At 49.0% G+C, this 20,322-nt stretch overlaps 1 protein-coding gene and 1 pseudogene across 8 annotated transcripts, besides 1 other annotated feature; both read right to left on the bottom strand.

The window, feature by feature from the left end:
* Positions 1–51: 51 nt before the first annotated feature.
* On the bottom strand, positions 52–19,999 carry ATAT1 (alpha tubulin acetyltransferase 1). Of its 8 annotated transcripts, none has more exons than NM_001031722.4 (13): positions 19,599–19,999; positions 19,353–19,413; positions 19,146–19,237; positions 18,962–19,022; positions 18,728–18,841; positions 18,443–18,544; positions 6,451–6,496; positions 6,270–6,338; positions 4,626–4,697; positions 3,862–4,105; positions 899–978; positions 764–806; positions 52–404 (listed from the first exon to the last, which is right to left on the bottom strand). In NM_001031722.4, exons 1-13 carry the CDS (start codon positions 19,667–19,669, stop codon positions 230–232), a joined length of 1,230 nt encoding a protein of 409 aa, NP_001026892.1. In that variant the 5' UTR covers positions 19,670–19,999; the 3' UTR covers positions 52–229. The 8 variants fall into 8 exon arrangements, 7 of the variants coding, with proteins under 7 accessions (NP_001026892.1, NP_001399996.1, NP_079185.2 ...); NM_001413067.1 differs by having other exon boundaries at positions 19,881–19,999; NR_033823.3 differs by lacking the exon at positions 3,862–4,105 and having other exon boundaries at positions 52–806; positions 19,881–19,999.
* On the bottom strand, positions 11,636–13,423 carry PTMAP1 (prothymosin alpha pseudogene 1; annotated as a pseudogene).
* Positions 19,867–20,161: an enhancer, noted in NCBI's record as "tiled region #13793; HepG2 Activating DNase unmatched - State 1:Tss, and K562 Activating non-DNase unmatched - State 2:TssF". NCBI's record gives its function as "activates a minimal TATA promoter and a strong SV40 promoter by Sharpr-MPRA in HepG2 and K562 cells {active_cell/tissue: HepG2 | K562}" and the evidence as "EXISTENCE:reporter gene assay evidence [ECO:0000049][PMID:27701403]".

The raw sequence follows: 20,322 nt of genomic DNA, 5'->3' as shown, positions 1-20,322 counted from the left end.
ACAGTGAGGGGTGAGGCGGCTGAAATAATGAGTCAAATTTTTCAACAGCTCTTGTGATAAAAATAAATACTTTTATTGGTCTGGTTAAAAGATACAAATGACTTGAATCTGATAAGCCTGCTGAATGAATGAATGAATGAATGTATCCATCTATTATGAGGGTTGGGCTTTGGCTCTTTCCTGTAGTGAGGGAGAAATAATACTTTGAAGATGTTTGACGGGGCTGCGGTCACCAAGGCCTGGTGCTGCGACGTTCCTGCAGGTTTCGAATGAACCTGGCGTTGAGTATGTCCCCACCCACTGTCCAGGACTGGGCTGGCGGGGCCGGGGCCTGTGGAGGAGCTGTGTGCATGGGCTTCTCCCCAGACCCATCCTGTGACAAGGCCTGCTCCTCACTGGCAGACCTGGTAGGTGGGGAGATGGAGAGTGGGTTATAGGAATACTAAAGAGGAAATTAAGATTACAGACTCTTCAAGGTCTCGGGCCAGGTTTTAATGTAGGACACATGATGGGTATGAAGCTGGAACCATTAGTGCTATGTCCAAATTTAAAACCTCTCAGAGAATCCGTATTCCAAAGGGAAGTACCAGAGTTGAACCTGTGGGGGAAAGGGGCTTGCAGGATGTAAGGTAGAAGGAATTGTGGGAGGAGCTGGTGTCCAGTTCATACAATAAGATTTAAGAGTAGGAAGTGACTGAGAATGATGTTAGGAAGGGAGTCAGATGGTGGTGGGAGGCTGTTAGGGGAGGGGTTTAGACCTCACCTATTCTTTGTTTCCTGTTCTCCCTGCTTGGAGTCTTGGTTGCCTGTGGAAATATCAGGCATGTGAATGGGAAGGCAGGAGTAGACAGTGAATGTGGCCTACTTGATTTGAGGGTAGGGAGGAGTGAATACTTACCTGTATTGGGGGATGAGGAATTCACCCCCCCATGGCGGCTGTAGCAGCAGCTTTGGGCTACCAGACCTGGGGGAGTCCCCCTGTAGAAGAAATGGGAGATGATGGGGAGGAGGCTACTGGATGAAAGATGGGTGGGTATGGAGGAATCAGAGGAGAGGAGTAAAAGGAATAGCACAGGAACAAAGAGAAGGGGGTAATTATCATTCCTAACAGGTTTTAATCAAAGCTGTGCCCCAGAAAAGGGCGGGGGAAGTTCATTTTATACCCAAGATTTTCTGGAGTGCTTCTGATTTATTGCTCTATTCTTTCTAGTTGAGGTAATGTGTTAAATCTATGGCTAGGTGTGATCCAAATCATGTCAGAAGAACAGACTCACATGTGGTCAAAAATGTGTTGGATCGGGTACTCTGGTGTTTGGTTTGGAAAACAGGGTTACCTTAACTATAAGATTCCTTAGACCAGGCTGGGCGCGGTGGCTCAGGCTTGTAATCCCAGCACTTTGGGAGGCCAAGACGGGCAGATCACGTGATCAGGAGATCGAGACCAACCTGGCCAACATGGTGAAACCCTGTCTCTACTAAAAATACACAAACTAGCTGGGCACGGTGGTGCACTTCTGTAATCCCAGCTACTTGGGAGGCTAAGGCAGGAGAATCGCTTGAACCCAGGAGGCGGAGGTTGCAGTGAGCTGAGATTGTGCCACTGCACTCCAGCCTGGCGACAGAGCAAGACTCCATCTCAAAAAAAAAAAAAAAGATTCCTTAGACCAGAGGGAAATAGGAAGTGACAAGGCTGAATTTTGAATTTAGGAGGAAAAGGAAGGGGGCCTCTGTAAATAGGGTGACAGACTGTGTTGCACTCTCAATGGAGGTAAGGGTTTGTCTTGAGAGAGATCCAGCGGTTTAGTGGAGCAGACGTCAGGTAATCAGAGTGGGAAGACGAATACAGGAGGCAGGAGGTAATTAGTGGATCCAGAGATGTTGGTAAGCTTTGACATCTTGGCAAAGGCACGCCCAGAGTAAAGGGTAGAAGTCACTGGGGAGAGCTGGAGGTTCCTGGAGGGAATGAGGGAGTAGATACGGAAGCCCACACACAGGGATCCAGCACCTACATGAAAGGAGACACAGAATCTGCAGGAGGACTAACAGTGAAGATGGGGATAGGCAGACACCAGACTCAGGAGCTCTGAGGCTCCTGGGTAAAAGATGTGCAGATCTCAGAAGTGAGAAATGAGAGGGACAGAGGTCCTGAGATCCCAGGAAAATAAGGGATGACGCACAAATGAGGCTGACAACTTTTTTTTTTGTGATTCTTTTTTTCATTGAAAATGTCAATTTAGAAAACACAAAAGATTTCACACTTTATTCAGACAACACTGAGAGAAGAAAAGGGAAGAGTGAGTAGGGGAGATGGGGAGATCCGGCTCCCAAGGATTTCAGGAAACACAGTGGGGCACCTGATCTAGCACACATTCAGAGGGTAGGGAGGGGAAGGGATCTAGCTATACTCTGGGCATGGAGCAGGGAAGGTCGTCCTTGCTATGGAGGAAAGGAGAGAGGAAGGACAGAGGAAGAGTGGTCCCCCATCTCATCTCGACAATCTCACAAGACAGGAGTATATCGGGACCTAGCTACCAGGGAGGGATGGATGCAAGAAGGGATTCCAGGATCTAACAGATCCTTGACACTCTGGATCTACTCTCAAGAAACAACCTCCCTCAGAGAATCTGGATCTGGGGGAAATGGTGGTGTCAGCCAATCTCCTTTAGAGACCCCAAAGCAACACCAGTTTGGGGTTCCCTGACACCTACACAAAATGTGGAAATGAAGAGTTTGGCAATGGTGAGTAGATCCCTTTGGGAAGCTGGTAAGTCCCTGTTCTACCTAACTAGACTGCTCTGAAGCAGAGCTTGCTCACTAGCGGCCATTCGCAGGCTCAAAGGGCAAGTGTGGCAGGCAGCACAAAGCAGTATTAGAGCCACCAGTAGACACTAGAGGGAATATGGGGTTTATCCCATAGATAAAATTCCTTAAAAAGTTTCCCTGGCACAGGATGCCCTTAGACCTTCCATGGTGGTCTAAAGTTTGACAGCAAGCAAGAGTGTGCTTCTCTAGATAAATGTATGAGCCATCTAACCAAGAAGTCTGGCAACAGATCAGACTTCCTGTTGGGAAAGTATTCAGAGCCCAAGTTAGGAGAGAAGGGGTGCTTTTGTGTTAAGAAAAGCTACAAAGTGTTAGGCAGTTTGAGACCCTGACATCCCTGCTGTCTAAGAAAGTAGAAGAGGGAATCCTATGGGCTCTGTCAGGTTCCACTGGGTCCTACAGGATGCAATGGAAGAGTGGGTCTGAGGTTCTCAGGGAGGGGTTCCCTGCCCACCCCAGGTCTCCCAGGGCAGGGAGAGGGTAGCTGTTAGTATCGACTCTCCTCAGAGCGGGGAAGGGAGCTGTGGAAGGATGTTATGGATGGGAGGAAGGGAGATGGGAAATGGCGGGGGGCGGGGGAGAGAAAAACAGAGAAGTCAGAGGTGAAGAGAAAGGGAGAGAAATAAAGGAAATGCCCACTCCCTGCCTGCTGCGATGGACTCTTGGCACACAAGCCAGTGGCTTCCCACTCTCTGTCAGACACTGCCCCTTCCCCAGCAAGTATTAAGCGAAGATTTTCCCAATCTTAGAAGGCTCTGTTCCCCCAACTCGATGGATCTCGGTGTTCTTCCTACCATTCCACATAACTCTCACATTAAAGCCAGGGTCCCTAGGCTCCATATAAGGTCCTATTCTGCTCCTTCACTGCATTTTTTTCCCAGATCACTTGCACAAATATTTTTCTTGAAAGGTTTCAGGACCCCCCCCAAGCCACCCATCTTATTGATCCATCTCTCTGATGGATTCAAATTGCCCTTTGCCATTTCTAACATCCTCTTTTATAGCTGTGAGGCTCCTTAGCCCTTCAACTCCTATTACCTGGTGCGACGACGTTGAGCTGGGCTGCCCCCAGGGTCAGCAGCCAACAGAAGGCGGGCGGTAGGGTGTGGGGGGCAGAGGCGCAAGGAACGCAGCAGCTCCTGCTCTGGCACAAAGGGGCGGAGGGGACCTCGTTCTGGTGAGTTTCCCAGGCTGCTGGAGCGGGGGGGTGGGTGGGCTGGAGGTGTGGCGCGGCGAGGGGCCCTGTTTAGGGGCCAAGGAGGCTCCACAGCTACCTTCAGAACTGGGGACAGGGAGAATGAAGAGCAAGACAGAAAAAGAAGAAAAAAGGAAGAGAGTCATGACAGCAAAGGTTTTGGTAGAAAAAAAGAGAAATCTGAGTCTTTCTTTTTTTTTTTTTTCTTTTTTGAGACGGAGTCTCACTCTGTCACCCAAGCTGGAGTGCAGTGGCACGATCTTGGCTCACTGCAACTTCCGCCTCCTGGGTTCAAGCCATTCTCCTGCCTCAGCCTCCCAAGTAGCTGGGATTACAGGCACGTGCCACCGTGCCCAGCTAATTTTTGTATTTTTAGTAGAGACGGGGTTTCACCATGTTGGCCAGGCTGGTCTTGAACCCCTGGACTCAGGCGATCTGCCTGCCTTAGCCTCTCAAAGTGCTGGGATTACAGGCATGAGCCACCATGCCCAGCCCAAGAAATCTGAGTCTTTAGAGAGAACGAATCCTTTCCCTGGGTCCCCTGAGCATTCTCTTCCCTTGTGTTAAGGTACCCCAGGCCCAGACACCCGACCCTTGCCCCTCTTACATTCTCGGTCACTAGAGGAGTATGGCTTGATGTCTCCCTCTGCTCTCTTGGGTGGCAGCTTCCTTGCTGGAGCTGGCAGTGGAGGGGACATAGGCAGGGTAAGCGTTAGGAGACATACTTTGCACCCCTCCTCCCAGCCACTATACCCCAACCCCAAACCTCTGCTCCCTGACACCACAGTTCCTCCTGAGAACTTGCAGGAGCAGCACCATGGCAATGCCAGCACACCAAAAGGGAATTTGAGGGGAATGTGGAACACTGTTGAGGAAAGCCAGAAGGAGTAGGCCAAACACAGAGCTAGGGAGAAAGATCGAAGGGGAGACTCTGGGGGCCTGGGAGATGCAGGAGAAGGGCAGCCAAGGGAAGTGAGCTCTTACTGTCAGTGGGTGCTGTCATGGCCCCCTGGTATTCTGGGGCAGTGGAATGGTCCCAGCCGGGCCAACGAGGACCCTGGGTTCCTCTGGATGAGATGGACAAAGCCCTTGGTTAATCAGGAATTGCTCTGGAGAGGTCAGGGGAGGTTTGGAAGGAGGGCACAATCTCTCCTTCCTATACGAAAATGGGAAGAGACTGAAGTTTTATTAGGTTAAAAAAAAAAAAGAAAATAAATATGGGCATCTGAAAGGGAGCTATCAGAGTAAGCAGGAGGCTGATGTAATGTCCAAAGTTCAGCCTCCCCCTCCTCACTTCTCTACTTGCTCCCGGCTTTCCCTCTCAAGAGATTCTCCATCATGTATGTGTGGCAAATGAAAGACTTCTCAGCAAATTCACTTAAGCTTTATCCACAGCACCCTCCCCTGCAGGCCTGAGACCTCACCATCCTTGTTGGCCCTCAGTCCCTCTCACAGCCTGTGGTTCTGAACAAGCTAAATGGGAGAAGCCTTGGAAACCAAAGCGAGTTGAGGTGCCTCTCAGTGCCTGACACTGTGATGCTCATAGCTGGTTACAGACTGCTGTTTGGATGGTGGTTACATCCTTTCCTGGCCACAGAGCCAGCTCAGGAAGGGGGCTCTTCTGTGCAAGCAAGCACTGTACAGCTGTCAGAAGTTGGTAAGGTGGAGGTGGTGAGGAAGAGGAAGGAGTGGGGCTCAGACTGTCAGTAAGTGTGTTTGTGTGTGTGTGTGTGTGTGTATGTGTGTATATGGGATGGGGAATCTGGACAGCATTTTAGTGCCTCTGAGGTTTGGTTTCTCCATATCAATTTCATTATCTGGTTGGAAATGTTATAAACTCTGAGTGTTATCTTCTAAAAGTAACATTTAAATTTTGGGCCATTTGTGTCACTATTCTGTGACTGCAAATGGAAGGGCTGTTTGCACCAGCCTGTCCCTCACTGGCTAACAGAAGCCTGGGGTTTACAAAGGAGCCTGACTCTGGCCTATGTTGACGGACCTGAACTGGCAAGAGGGTCCATTGATATCAGCTGTCAAACAGGCTCCCAATGAGCTTGCTTAGTTAAAAGTCTTGCCAAATATAAAATGCACTGAGCTCCCATGAGGGCAAAGGCAAACAGTCATGACTGCTGGAGACTTGGGTTGCTTTAGAATTTTCCAAAATTGCCCACAGATGGCACTGTACCCCGTGGCATCTAGAGTAAGTAGCCATCACTGCACTACAGTTCCACCCCTTCAATACAGGCTTTACCAGCGGGCGTGGGATCGACTGCAGCAGCACGAGAGTGTCGAGTTGCCCTCAGAGAGGGAGCAGGGGGCCCTGTGAGGAAGGAAGCGGCGGGGCCCCTCAGTGAGGGGTCGGCAGGACCAAGAGTCCAGCTCTTTCCTTTCCCTCACCCCGACTACGTGACCAACAAAATGCAAAAACTTACGATGTTGATGGGCAAAGAAGCCTTCAAAGATCACAAAGTTGTTCACCTGGAAGATGAAACAAACAAAATACAATCATGCATCACTTAACGATGGGGATACATTCTGAGAAATACGTCATTGGGTGATTTCATTGTGTGAACATCACAGAGTGTACTTACACAAACCTAGACACTATAGCCTACAACACACCCAGACTATATCATACAGCCTATTGCTCCTAGGCTACAAACCTGTACAGCATGTTACTGTACTGAATGCTGTAGGCAATTTTTTTTTTTTTTTGAGAGGCAGAGTCTCGCTCTGTTGCCTAGGCTGGAGTGCAGTGGTGCCATCACAGCTCACTGCAGCATCAACCTGGGCTTAAATGATCCTCCCACCTCAGCCTCCCAAGTAGCTAGGACCACAGGTGCATGCCACCACATCTGGCTACTAATTTTTTTTTAACTTTTTGTAGAGATGGGGGTCTCACTATGATGCCCAGGCCAGTCTCAAACTCCAGGGCTCATGTGATCCTTCTGCCTCAGCCTCCAAAAGTCCTGGGATTATAGACGTGAGCCACCATGCTCAGCCAGCTGTAGGCAATTCTAACATAATGGTTCAGCTGATGTATCTAAACATACCTCAACACAGAAAAGGTACAGTAAAGGTCAGGTGCGGTGGCTCACGCCTGTAATCCCAGCACTTTGGGAGGCCGAGGCGGGCGGATCATGAGGTCAGGAGATCGAGACCATCCTGGCTAACATGGTGAAACCCCATCTCTACTAAAAATACAAAAAAATTAGCCGGATGTGGTGGCGGGCGCCTGTAGTCCCAGCTACTCGGGAGGCTGAGGCAGCAGAATGGCGTGAACCCGGGAGGCAGAGCTTGCAGTGAGCTGAGATCGTGCCACTGCACTCCAGCCTGGGCGATGGAGCAAGACTCCGTCTCAAAAAAAAAAAAAAAGAAAGAAAGTGAAAAGACAATCTACAGAATGGGAGAAAATGTTTGCAAGTCATACATCTGATAAGTGCGTTCTATCTAGAATATATGAAAAACTCTCAGAACAAAAAAGAACACAATTTAAGAACAGACAAAGGACTTGTATAAACTTTTCTCTAAAGAAGATACACAAATGGCCAATAAGCACATAAAAAGGTGCTAAAGTCCAGGTTCAGTGGCTCACACCTGTAATCCCAGCACTTTGGGAGGCTGTGGCAGGCATCACTTGAGGTCAGGAGTTCAAGACCGGTCTGGCCAAGATGGTGAAACCCTGTGTCTATTATAAATACAAAAAATTAGCCAGGCATGGCAGTGTGCACCTGTAATCCTAGCTACTTGGGAGGCTGAGGCAGGAGAGTCGCTTGAACCCAGGAGGCGGAGGTTGCAGTGAGCTGAGATCGTGCCACTGCACTCCAGCCTGGGCAAGAGAATGAGACTCCGTCTCAAAGGATAAATAAATAAATAAAAAATTCAGCAGGGTTCCAAGGGGTGGGGAAAGTCAGGGGAAGACATGCTGGAGGCCAGGATGCTACTTTGATAACTAGTAACTATTAATTTTAGAGTTACTTCATTATATTTTCACATTTAATTTGGCCTTCACAATCCTGGAAGTCACTATTTGAAAGAAGGTTGGGGGAAATACAGCCTTGGAGACATGGCTTCGCTTGGCCAATGCCAAGTAGCTACAAGTGGCAGGGCTGGGCCTCAACTTTCAGACTTCTGATTCCAGCTGCAGTGTTTTAGCCAGGAAAATAGTGTAGCCATTAAGAGTTTACTCAAGAGGAGAGCTTGCAGTGAGCCGAGATGGCAACACTGCACTCCAGCCTGGGCGACAGAGAGAGACTCCGTCTCAAAAAAAAAAAAAAAACTCGGGGGCCAGGCGTGGTGGATCACGCCTGTAATCCCAACAATTTGGGAGGCCAAGGCGGGTGGATCACTTGAGGTCAGGAGTTCGAGACCCTGTCTCTACTAAAAATACAAAAATTAGCTGGGTGTGGTGACGTGCGCCTGTAATCCTAGCTACTCAGGAGGCTGAGGCAGGAGAATCCATTGACCCCAGGAGGGAGAGGCTGTAGTGAGCTGAGATTGCACCACTGTACTTCAGCCTGGGTGACAGAGTGAGACTCCATCTCAAAAAAAAAAGTTTAATGGGGGCTGGGCATGGTGGCTCATGTGGATAGCTTGAGCCCAGGAGTTCAAGACCAGCCTGGGCAATATAGCAAGACCTCATCTCTACAAAAATATTTTTAAAAATTAGCCAGGCGTGGGCCGGGCCCAGTGGCTCAAGCCTGTAATCCCAGCACTTTGGGAGGCCGAGGCGGGCCGATCACGAGGTCAGGAGATCGAGACCACCCTGGCTAACACGGTGAAACCCCGTCTCTACTAAAAATACAAAAAATCAGCCAGCCATAGTGGTGGGCGCCTGTAGTCCCAACTACTTGGGAGGTTGAGGTGGGAAGATCTTTTTTGAGATGGAGTCTCGCTCTGTTGCCAGGCTGGACTTCAGTGGCAAGATCTCAGCTCACTGCAACCTCCACCTCCTGAGTTCAAGCGATTCTCCTGCCTCAGCCTCCGGAGCAGCTGGGACTACAGGCATGCGCCACCATGCCCAGCTAATTTTTGTATTTTCAGTAGAGACAGGGTTTCACCATGTTGGCCAGGATGGTCTTGATCTCTTGACCTCGTGATCCGCCCGCCTTGGCCTTCCAAAGTGCTGGGGTTACAGGCGCGAGCCAATGCGTCCGGCCTTTTTTTTTTTTTAACATGGAATCTCACTCTGTTGCCCATGCTGGAGTGCAATGGTGTCATCTCGGCTCCCTGCAACTTCCACCTCCCAGGTTCAAGCTCTTCTCCTGTCTCAGCCTCCTGAGTAGCTGGGATTACAGGCACATGCCACCACGCCCGGCTTATTTTTGTATTTTTAATAGAGATGGGGTTTCGCCATGTTGGCCAGGCTGGTAGGGAAGATCTCTTGAGCCTAGGAGGTAGAGACTGCAGTGAGCCGTGATCGTGCCACTGCACTCCAGCCTAGGCAACAGAGCAAGACCTTGCCTCAAAAAGAAAAAAAAAAAAAAAGTTCACTGGGTGCAAATGGCTATGGGTTCAAATGTGGACTCTACTATTTACTGGCTGTGTGAATTTGGTTAAGTCATTAATTTGTATAAACCCAAAATAGGTTTAATAATAGTACCTACCTCAAAAAGATGTGCAAGAATCCACTGAGATGATGCATATAGATACCACATAGAGCCCATGAAATGTGAATTATTATTTACACTCTATACTGCTCTGGCCTTACATGTTAACTGGGTAATGTGTTTCATATCGAATACTGTGCTCCAGGACCGGGTATGGTGGCTCACGGCTGTAATCGTAGCACTTTGGGAGACCGAGGTGGGCGGATCACTTGAGGTCAGAAGTTCGAGACGTCTGGCCAACATGGTGAAACCTCATCAACACAAAAATTAGCCAGGTGTGGTGGTGGGCGCCTCTAATCCCAGCTACTCAGGAGGCTGAGGCAAGAGAATTGCTTGGACTCAGGAGGCAGAGGTTCCAGTGAGCTGAGATTGTGCCACTGCACTCCAGCCTGGGCGACAGACTGAGACTCCATCTCAAAATACAAACAAACAAACAAAAAAAAACTGTGCTCCTTCCACTGCTCTCTGTTGCCTCTTAATGGAAAAATATACTGTAGGAAGACCCTGCCTATCCCTTGCCTTGACCTTGTTGTAATGTCTACCAGCCCATCCTCATCACCCCCACCCCCCAACAAGCACATGCCCAGCACTCCAACCACACCACACTGCTTGTAGTGTCCTGAAAGGTGGTTTATTTTTATTTATTTATTTATTTTTTTTGAGACAGTGTCTTGCTCTGTCGCCCAGGCTGGAGTGCAGTGGCATGATCTGGGCTCACTGCAAGCTCCGCCTCCTGGGTTCACGCCATTCTCCTGCCTCAGCCTCCTGATTAGCTGGGACTACAGGCGCCTGCCACCACGCCCAGCTAATTTTTTTTGTATTTTTAGTAGAGACGGGGTTTTACCGTGTTAGCCAGGATGGTCTCGATCTCCTGACCTTGTGATCCGCCTACCTTGGCCTCCCAAAGTGCTGGGATTACAGGTGTGAGCCACCACGCCTGGCCTGAAAGGTGGTTTAATACCTTTCTGCCTTTGCTCATGCCTGTTCCTCTACATGAAATGCACTTTAGCCTTTTGTCCACCTGACAAACACTTGCCTTTCAAGATTAGACATGTCATCTTTCTTTACCCAACCCCCAGCCCAAGATAGCACTCAAATCCATGTCCTTATGCCTCCTCTGTAATCACATCTATCAAATCATGTTACAATGGATTAACTGTCCATGTTCCTATCCAAGGCTAACTTGTCAACCAAATCTCAACGCCCCCGCCGCCCATTCAATGACATCACTTCAACAGTTCTCCCCACTTTCTCTGACATAATAATATTTTCTCTCTACTGAATCATTCTAATGCTATTTGTTCTCCCATCTGCAAAAGATCAACTCTTTTGATCCACTTCACTCTCCAGCTCTTGCTCTATTTCTATTCCCATTAAAGCAGGATTTAAAAGAGTAGCTTATTCTTGCTGTGTTCCTAGCTTCTCAGTCTACAAGACCCACTGCATCCAGGCTTCCAAACACCGCTGCACCAAAACTGCTCATTAAGATCACCAATGGCCTAACGCAGATAAATCCAATGGTAACTTCTCAGACCTCTTTGCTCCTTGATCAGCAGCATTTGACCAAGTAAACCATTCCTTCCTCCTGGAAACACTTTCTTCAGTGGCCTTTGAGGTCACCTTACTTTTCAGTTTTCTTTTCTTTTTTTTTTTTTTTGAGATGGAGTTTCGCTTTGTTGCCCAGGCTGGAGTGCAATGGCATGATCTCGGCTTACTGCAACCTCCACCTCCCAGATTCAAGTGATTGTCCTGCCTCAGCCTCCCAAGTAGCTGGGATTACAGGCATGAGCCACCTCGCCTGGCTAATTTTGTATTTTTTGTAGAGATGGGGTTTCACCATGTTGGTCTTGAACTCCTGACCTCAGGTGATCCACCCGACTCGGCCTCCCAAAGTGCTGGGATTACAGGTGTGAGCCACCACACCCGGCCTCAGTTTTCATCTACTTCACTAGTCACTCTGTGGTTGCATTTGCTGGTCTTCTTCTCTTCCTTAACTTCTTTTTGTTGCTGTTAGAACAACTCAGCAAAATAAAATTTGGGTTTATTGTTGCACAATATTGTTTCACACATACATCAAATAGGCCTAAATAAATAAGCAGCCATTTCATAGACAAAAAAGGCAAATAAATGAAACATTTTATCTTTGGCCTTTTTAACCATCTCACACAAACCAACTACTTATGGTACAACTAACTACATACACTAAAGAAGCTACTGGAATGCTCAGAACGAGACTTTTTGTTGTTGTTGTTGTTTTTGAGATGTAGTCTCGCTCTGTTGCCCAGGCTGGAGTGCAGTGGCACAATCTTGGCTCACTGCAAGCTCTGCCTCCCGGGTTCACGCCATTCTCCTGCCTCAGCCTCCCAAGTAGCTGGGACTACAGGCTCCCGCCACCACGCCTGGCTAATTTTTTGTATTTTTAGTAGACAGGGGGTTTCACCATGTTAGCCAGGATGGTCTCGATCTTCTGACCTCGTGATCCACCCACCTCGGCCTCCCAAAGTGCTGGGATTACAGGCGCGAGCCACCGCGCCCAGGCTTTTTTTTTTTTTTTAAACAAGGTTTTTTTTTTTTTTTTTTTTCCTCCTTTGAGATTATAATGAATATGGTCACACCACAAGTAAAGTCAGAAGTAAGACAGAGAACCCTCCAAAGGCTGGCTTGGTCATCTGAGATCATTAAAAATGACTGAACCTGGCTGGGCGCCGGTGGCTCACGCCTGTAATTCGAGCACTTTGGGAGGCCGAGGTAGGTGGATCACAAGGTCAGGAGATAGAAACCATCCTGGCCAACCTGGTGAAAGCCTGTCTCTGCTAAAAATACAAAAATTAGCTGGGTGTGGTGGCGGGCGCCTGTAATCCCAGCTACTCAGGAGGCTGAGGCAGGAGAATCACTTGAACCCAGGAGGTGGAGCTTGCGGTGAGCCAAGATCGCACCACTGCACTTGAGCCTGGCGACAGAGCTAGACTCCGTCTCAAAGAAAAAAAAAATGACCCTAACAATATGTACAAAAATATAAAATGTAAATAAAAAATACAAACAAACTTCCTTTTTAAAGTACTTTTAAAAGAGCAAGACCTTGGAAGTTTTGGTTCTTTTTTCCTCCTCTGTTGCAAATTCTCTGGTTTGGGTTGGGTGGTGGTGAGTGCCTGTCATCTGCAGTGGCACTGTCTGTGGAGGGCAAGCAGGCCTCTCGAGGGCAACCATGTTTAGATTCTGAGATGGGAAGTGGAGGGTGAATAGGTCACGGTGGCCTTAATTTAAAGTTTAACTTTTCTTTTTTTGCTGTCTAATCATCCTCACTGGCCTTCTGCTGCTTGGTATCAACATCGTCATCTTCATCATCATCAGCTGCCCATTTGTCCATACCGCCTCAGCTGCTTCGTTTTCATCTCCGTTCTTTTCTTCACCATCACCTTCCTCTTCCTTCTCCTCTTTCTCCCCACCCTGTTCCTCTTCTTCATCTACCTCGTTGTCAGCCTCCTGCTCCCCATTTTCCTCATTAGCGTTCCCGTTAGCATGGGCGTCTCTTCCACTTTCTGCCTCCTCCACAACTTCTCCTTGAAGTCCTTGGTGGTGATCACGGAGCTTGTGTCCACAACTGCCTCTGACATGGTGGGGCACAGCGGTGATCCGATGCAAGGGATTAAGAAGAAAGTGAGAGTTTGGGGACTATGTCGATTAAGCTGCCAGACTCTGAGGCAGCAGAGGAAGTGCATGGCGGAGGTGGCTGTGGTGAGCAGGACACCGAACCAGGAACAATGCAAAGATGGCTTTTCAGAGCAGCCAGTTGGGGGTCCTCACTTCTTAAAGAGGGCCCAAAGGGGCAGCTTCTCTATCTATAATCTTTCTATGGTGATCGCATCCTGTCTGTTGGCTTTAGATACCAGATGTATGCTGAAAACTCTCCTCCCCAAACCTCCTCCCTGATCTCCAGGGAAGTATCCAACTGTCTACTCAAACCTGGACATATCACAGACATCTCCAATTAACATATTAAAAATGTACTCCTAGTATTTCCCCCAAAGCTGGTCTACCTACCATCTCAGTTAAAGCAACTTCATTCTTCCAGCTGCTCAGGCTTTGGCATTGTCCTAAAGTCCTCTTTCTCCACATACAATCTGTCAGGAAATCTTACTTGCTTTACCTTCAAAATATTTAAAATTTGACCACTCTTTACCATCACTACTGCTACCACCTTGGTCTGAGCCACCACCATTTTTCGCCAGGATTGTTGCTGCCTAATTAGTCTACTTGCTTCTACTCTGGCTCCCTTATTGCCGTTTCCATTTTTTTTTTTTTTTTGATATGGGGTCTTACTCTGTCACCAGGCTAGAGTGCAGTGCAGTGGCACAATCTCAGCTCACTGCAACCTCTACCTCCCTGATTCAAGCAATTCCCCTGCCTCAGTCTCCCGAGTAGCTGGGATTACAGGCGAGCACCACCACACCTGGCTAATTTTTTTTTCTATTTTTAGTAGAGATGGGGTTTCACCATGTTAGCCAGACTGGTCTTGAAGTCCTCAGGCAATCCACCTGCCTCGGCCTCCCAAAGTGCTAGGATTACAGGTGTGAGCCACTGTGCCCGGCTATTGCCTGTTCTTAACAGCCAAAGTGATCTTGTTAAAAAGGAAAAAATCAAGATCACAGCCAAAATGATCTTTTTCTTTTTTCTTTGATGGAGTCTCGTTCTGTTATCCAGGCTGGAGTGCAGTAGTGCGATCTCAGCTCACTGCAACCTCTGCCTCCCAGGTTCAAGCGATTCTTCTATCTCAGCCTCCCAAGTAGCTGGGGCTACAGGTGCCCGCCACCACACCCGGCTAATTTTTGTATTTTTAGTAGAGATGGGGTTTCACCATATGGCCAGGCTGGTCTCGAACTCCTGACCTTGTGATCCACCTGCCTGGGCCTCCCAAAATGCTGGGATTACAGGAATGAGATACCACACCTGGCGCTATTTTTTTTTTTTTTTTTTTTTAAGAAGGAGTCTTGCTCTGTCGCCCAGGCAGGAGTGCAGTGGTACAATTTCAGCGGCTCACTGCAACCTCCGCCTCCCGGTTCTAGTGATTCTCCTGCCTCAGACTCCCAAACAGCTGGGATTACAGGCACCTGCCATCACACCCAGCTAATTTTGGTATTTTCAGTAGAGACCTCAGGTGATCCACCTACCTCGGCCTCCCAAAGTGCTGGGATTACAGGTGTGAGTCGCCACCCCTGGCCTGATCTTATTTTTTACTTAAAATAAAAGCCAGTCTTTGCAGTAGCCTATAAGGCCCCTCCTCCGCATTACCTCTCTGGTCTCATCTCCTACCATACTCCTCCGCTGACTCATGCTGCTCTGGACACAGCCAATTTGCTCTTTCAGGCACACTCCCACCTCACGGCCATACACTGGTGGTACCTTCTGTCTGGGATGCTCTCTCTCCAGATATTTCTTGGCTCTTACTCTTTTTTTTTGTTTGTTTGTTTTGAGACAGTCTCACGTTGTTACCCAGGCTGCAGTGCAGTGGTACCATCTCGGCTCACTGCAGCTTCGACCTCCTGGGCTTAAGCAATCCTCCTGCCTCAGACCCCCAAGTAGCTGGGACCACAGGTGCGTGCCACTACACCTGGCTAATTTTTGTGTTTTTTGTAGAGATGGGGTTTCACCATGTTGCCTAGGCTAGTCTCGAACTCCTGGGCTCAAGTGATCCACCCACCTCGGCCTCCCTAAGTACTAGGATTGCAGATGTAAGTCACCACGCCCAGCCTTGGTTTTTATTCTTTTTTTTTGAGATGGAGTCTCGCTCTGTCACCCAGGCTGGAGTGCAGTGGCGCGATCTCGGCTCACTGCAAGCTCTGCCTCCCAGGTTCACGCCATTCTCCTGCCTCAGCCTCCCGAGTAGCTGGGACTACAGGCACCCAGCTAATTTTTTTGTATTTTTTTTAGTGGAGACAGGGTTTCACCATGTTAGCCAGGATGGTCTAGATCTCCTGACCTCGTGATCCGCGCGCCTCGGCCTCCCAAAGTGCTGGGATTACAGGCATGAGCCACCGTGCCCGGCCAGTTTTTACTCTTACTTCCTTTCAGTTATTGCTCAAATGACACTTTCTCAGTGATGATCCCCTTTCAACCTGCAATCCCACATACTCCCATCCCCACCTTACTTGAGTACTCCCAAACCCTTACTTGCTCTCATTTTTCCAGAGCACTTATTAACCATATTGTTTATTATGTTTGTTTGTCTCTCCAGCTAGAATATAAGCTCCACCACTAAGACAGGGACTTTTGTCTGTTCCCTTCTTTTTCTGTTTTTTTTTTTTGTTCCGAGACAAGAGTCTCGCTTCGTCCCCCAGGGTGGAGTGCTGTAGCAGGACCTCGGCTCACTGTAACCTCTGCCTCCGGGGTTCAAGCAATTCTCCTGCCTCAGCCTCCCGAGTAGCTGGGATTACAGGCGCACGCCATCATGCCCAGTTAATTTTTATATTTTTAGTAGAGACAGGGTTTCACTATGTTCCACATGCTGATCTCGAACTCCTGATATCAGGTGATCCTCCTGCCTTGGCCTCCCAAAGTGTGGGGATTACAGGCATGAGCCACCATGCCTGGCCCTTTTTCTTTTTCTTTTTTGAGATGGAGTCCTCACTCTGTCGCTCAGGCTGGAGTGCAGTGGTGCAATCTTGGTTCACTGCAACCTCTGCCTCCCGGGTTCAAGTGATTCTCCTGCCTCAGCCTCCTGGGTAGCTGGGATTACAGGTACCCACCATCATGCCCCGCTAATTTTTGTATTTTTAATAGAGACGGGGTTTTACCATGTTGACCAGGCTGGTCTCAAACTCCTGACCTCAAGTGATTCGCCCACGTCAGCCTCCCAAAGTGCTGGGATTACGGGCATGGGCCACCGCACCGCACCTGGCCTTTTTTTCTGTTTTTGTTTTCATTTTTGGAGACAGGGTCTCTCTCTGTTGCCCAGGCTATAATGCAGTGGCGCGATCTTGGCTCACTGCAACCTCTGCCTCCCAGGCTCAAGCGATTCTCCCATTTCAGCCTCCCAAGTAGCTGGGACTACAGGCTCGTGCCACCACGCCTGGCTAATTTTTTTTTGTATTTTTTGTAGAGACAGAGTTTCGCTATGTTGCCCAGGCTGTTGTCTGTTTCATTGAGTAAACCATTCCTAGTGCCCAGAACACTGCCAGGCACTCAATGTTTATTGGATGAATGGGTAGCATTAGTAACATTTTGCTGCACTTAGTTATAAACAAGACTTCCTTCCCTATATTAGGCCAAAGCTCCATGAGGACAGGGAATGCATATTATTCTGGACCCTTAATAAATACTGACTGACCAGATGAGTAATGAACTATGTGAAAACAAGGAGGTGAAAATGAGCTGGCTATGTTTGGGTTGAAAATTAGTCATAAGGGGTCGGGCACGGTGGCTCACGCCTGTAATCCCAGCACTTTGGGAGGCCGAGGCGGGCAGATCACAAGGTCAGGAGATCTAGACCATCCTGGCTAACACGGTGAAACCCCATCTCTACTAAAAATACAAAAAATTAGCTGGGTATGGTGGTGGGCACCTGTAGTCCCAGCTACTCGGGAGGCTGAGGCAGGAGAATGCCGTGAACCTGGGAGGCGGAGCTTGCAGTGAGCTGAGATCGTGCCACTGCACTCCAGCCTGGGTGACAGAGCGACTCTGTCTCAAAAAAAAATTAGGCATAAGGGTTGTGTGCGGTGGCTCACACCTGTAATCCCAGCACTTTTGGGAGGCTGAGGTGGGCACATCACTTGAGGCCATGAGTTCAGGACCAGTCTGTCCAACATGGTGAAACTCCATCTCTACTAAAAATACAAAAATTAGCTGGGCATGATGGTGCATGCCTGTAATCCCTACTACTCAGGAGGCTGAGGCACAAGAATCACTTGAACCCCGGAGGCAGAGGTTGCAGTGAGCTGTGATCGTGCCACTGCAATCCAGCCTGGACGATGGAGCAAGGCTACATCTCACAAAAAAAAAAAAAAAGAAAAATTAGGTGTAGGAAACAACTTGTGGTAAAGAATCAAAATAAGTCTGGGTACAGTGGCTCACGCCTATAATCCCAGCACTTTGGGAGGCTGAGGCAGGTGGATCTCTTGAGCCAGGAGTTCAAGACCACCCAGTGCAACATAGTGAGACCTCATCTCTACAAAAAATAAAAAATTAGCCAGGCATGGTGGTGCATGCCTGTAGTCTCAGCTACTCAGGAGGCTAAGGGAGGAGTATCGCTTGAGCCCAGAAGGTTGGGCTGCAGTGAGCCAAGATCCTGCCATAGCACTCCAGCTTGGGCAACAGCAGGAGACTCTGCTTTGAAAAAAAAAAAAAAAAAGTCAGATGCGGTGGCTCACACCTGTAATCCCAGCATTTTGGGAGGCCAAGGCGGGCAGATCACAAGGTCAGGAGTTTGAGACCAGCCTGGCCAGTATGGTGTAACTCCGTCTCCACTAAAGATATAAAAATTAGCTGGGTGTGGTGGTGGGTGCCTGTAGTCCCAGCTACTCAGGAGGCTGAAGCAGGAGAATCGCTTGAAACCAGGAAGTGGAGGTTGCAGTGAGCTGAGATTGCGCCACTGTACTCCAGCCTGGGCAGCATGGCGAGACTCCATCTCAAAAAAAAAAATCAAAATAGATGAGAAAGAAGTCACTACAGGATGAGAGATGGTACCACAAGAGAAAGAAAGAGCCTGGTTGTAGAAAATGAAACCTATGTGATAGGAAATAAGTCACTACTTCTTTGCCATAAATAACAAATAAATTCAATGGGAATGCTCAGTGGGGATCTATTCTCTGAAACCTCTAACCTGTGGGACTGTGGTCTCCAGATTGTAGTGCTTATTCAGGAATTTCAGCAGCTTCTGTGAGGGTCGGTCAATTGCCAGTTGGTGCGGTTCCACTCGCTCCTTCTGCAGGGAAAAGGAGACTCAGGGTAGGAGGAAGTATGGGGAAAGCATGCCAACAGGAAGCCAGAAGCCTGGGAAGGGAATAGAATGACATGGGAACATGGGGGGTGGGAGGCAGGGCTTCTGGAAGGGCTCAGGGCAAAGGAGCCCCTAGTTTGGATGAACCAGTGAAGAGGTCAGTGATACCTGCAACATATACTGGAAGAGTTCTCGCCCATGGCCATGGCGTTGCACAGACTCATGGATGTAAAAGTCCAGGATGCAAAGTGGTTCTACCTCATTATGAGCCTCACGATCATCCTAAGAGAGAAACAATAAAAATGTTTTAGGAACCCCGGCATCTCTGCTGCCCCCTAACCTCCAGCACTTTTGTTCTCAGAAACCAAGGTATACGAACTCCTAGCATCCAATAACACTCACCAGTACAAAGAGCTTCTTGTATCCAACTTTGATGAAACCAATAATGGCTCCTTTTCCAGCCCTGTAGGACGGGGAAAATAATGAACAGGCTAGTGGTATCTATCTGCAAGAGATAGTCAAAGATGGGGGAAGGGCTGAGGAAGGAAGGAATTAAGTATGGGATGGAAGAGCATGTGGCACTCACGGTCGGGCTGAACTGTCTTTGAGAATATAAACAACATGGCGGTTACTCTGCATCCTTGATGCACTAGTGATAGGAGCGGAAAGATTCTGGGCCTGCAGGGAAGATTAAGTCAGACTTTCTGCAAGTCTCTCCGAAGGACCCAGGCCTCCCTTATATACCATCCCCACAGAGGTCCTCCCTTTACTCCATCTAAAAACTCTCCAGTACCTTGGCAGAAGCCTTGCCCAGTTCATCTATAATGGTCATAATTTGCTGCTGTAGATCAACACTAGAGAAAGAGAAGAAATAAAGAGTCAGATACTCACTAAATTAGCGGGTCCTAGGCAGTCAGTCCTGGGAACCTGGGCCACAACTCCAACCCAGGTTTAACACTGAAGGCTCCCTGCCTTTGCCTGGGAGTCTTCCAATCTGATTTCCCACCCCACCCTTCTGAAACCCAAACTTCTGTCACACCTTTCAAGGTGGCACACTCCCTCCTCCCTTAAGGTTATTGTGAGGAAGCAGAAAGGCCAGGTCAACCACATCCTTTGATTGGGACATTTTGGGCCCGGGGTGAAAGGTCACAGATCCAAGCGCTGATCAATCCCACTAGGCCCAGGGTCAGAGGTCACCAAAAAGGCAGGCCTGGACATCAAAAGGGGCGATCACTAGTCAGTGAGAAGGGGGCGTGGTGCCTGGACCAGGTTTGGAGAGGAACCGGGAGAAAAGGGCCAGAGGGTGGGTTTGAGCTGTCACCGGGCCGGCGTTGTGGTTCCGGGTCGGCGGGCTGGGGGCCTCAGGTGCTGGTCCAGCACCGTGATCCGCTCCGGGAACAGCGCGTCCACATCGAACGGGAACTCCATGGCCCATTGTGCGCGGTCGGACCCGCCCCACACGACGTCACTTCCGCCCCTCCTCTCGCCGCACCGCCTCTCGGAGTCTTTATTTCCAGGAGCCCCGCCTGTAGACCTTGCCCCCTAGCGTCCTGGCAACTGACAGGGCCCCCGTTTTTCTTGCCAAACCAGCTGTGCCCCTAGCAGTGCCACTCCTTTCCATCCCTGCATCCCACGGCAGTGAGTGCCATGGCAACGTAGTCTTCCTTGGCCCAGTGTCTCACTGTCCAACCTTTTATCCCCTCAGTGAACAGTGGGCCATGCTGTGGAGTGGGGGCCCACAAGGCATCTTGACAGAGTGGCAC

This window comes from Homo sapiens, chromosome 6 (assembly GCF_000001405.40).
Source record: "Homo sapiens chromosome 6, GRCh38.p14 Primary Assembly".
NCBI lineage: Eukaryota > Metazoa > Chordata > Mammalia > Primates > Hominidae > Homo > Homo sapiens.
This window is presented reverse-complemented; position numbering and strand designations above follow the sequence as displayed.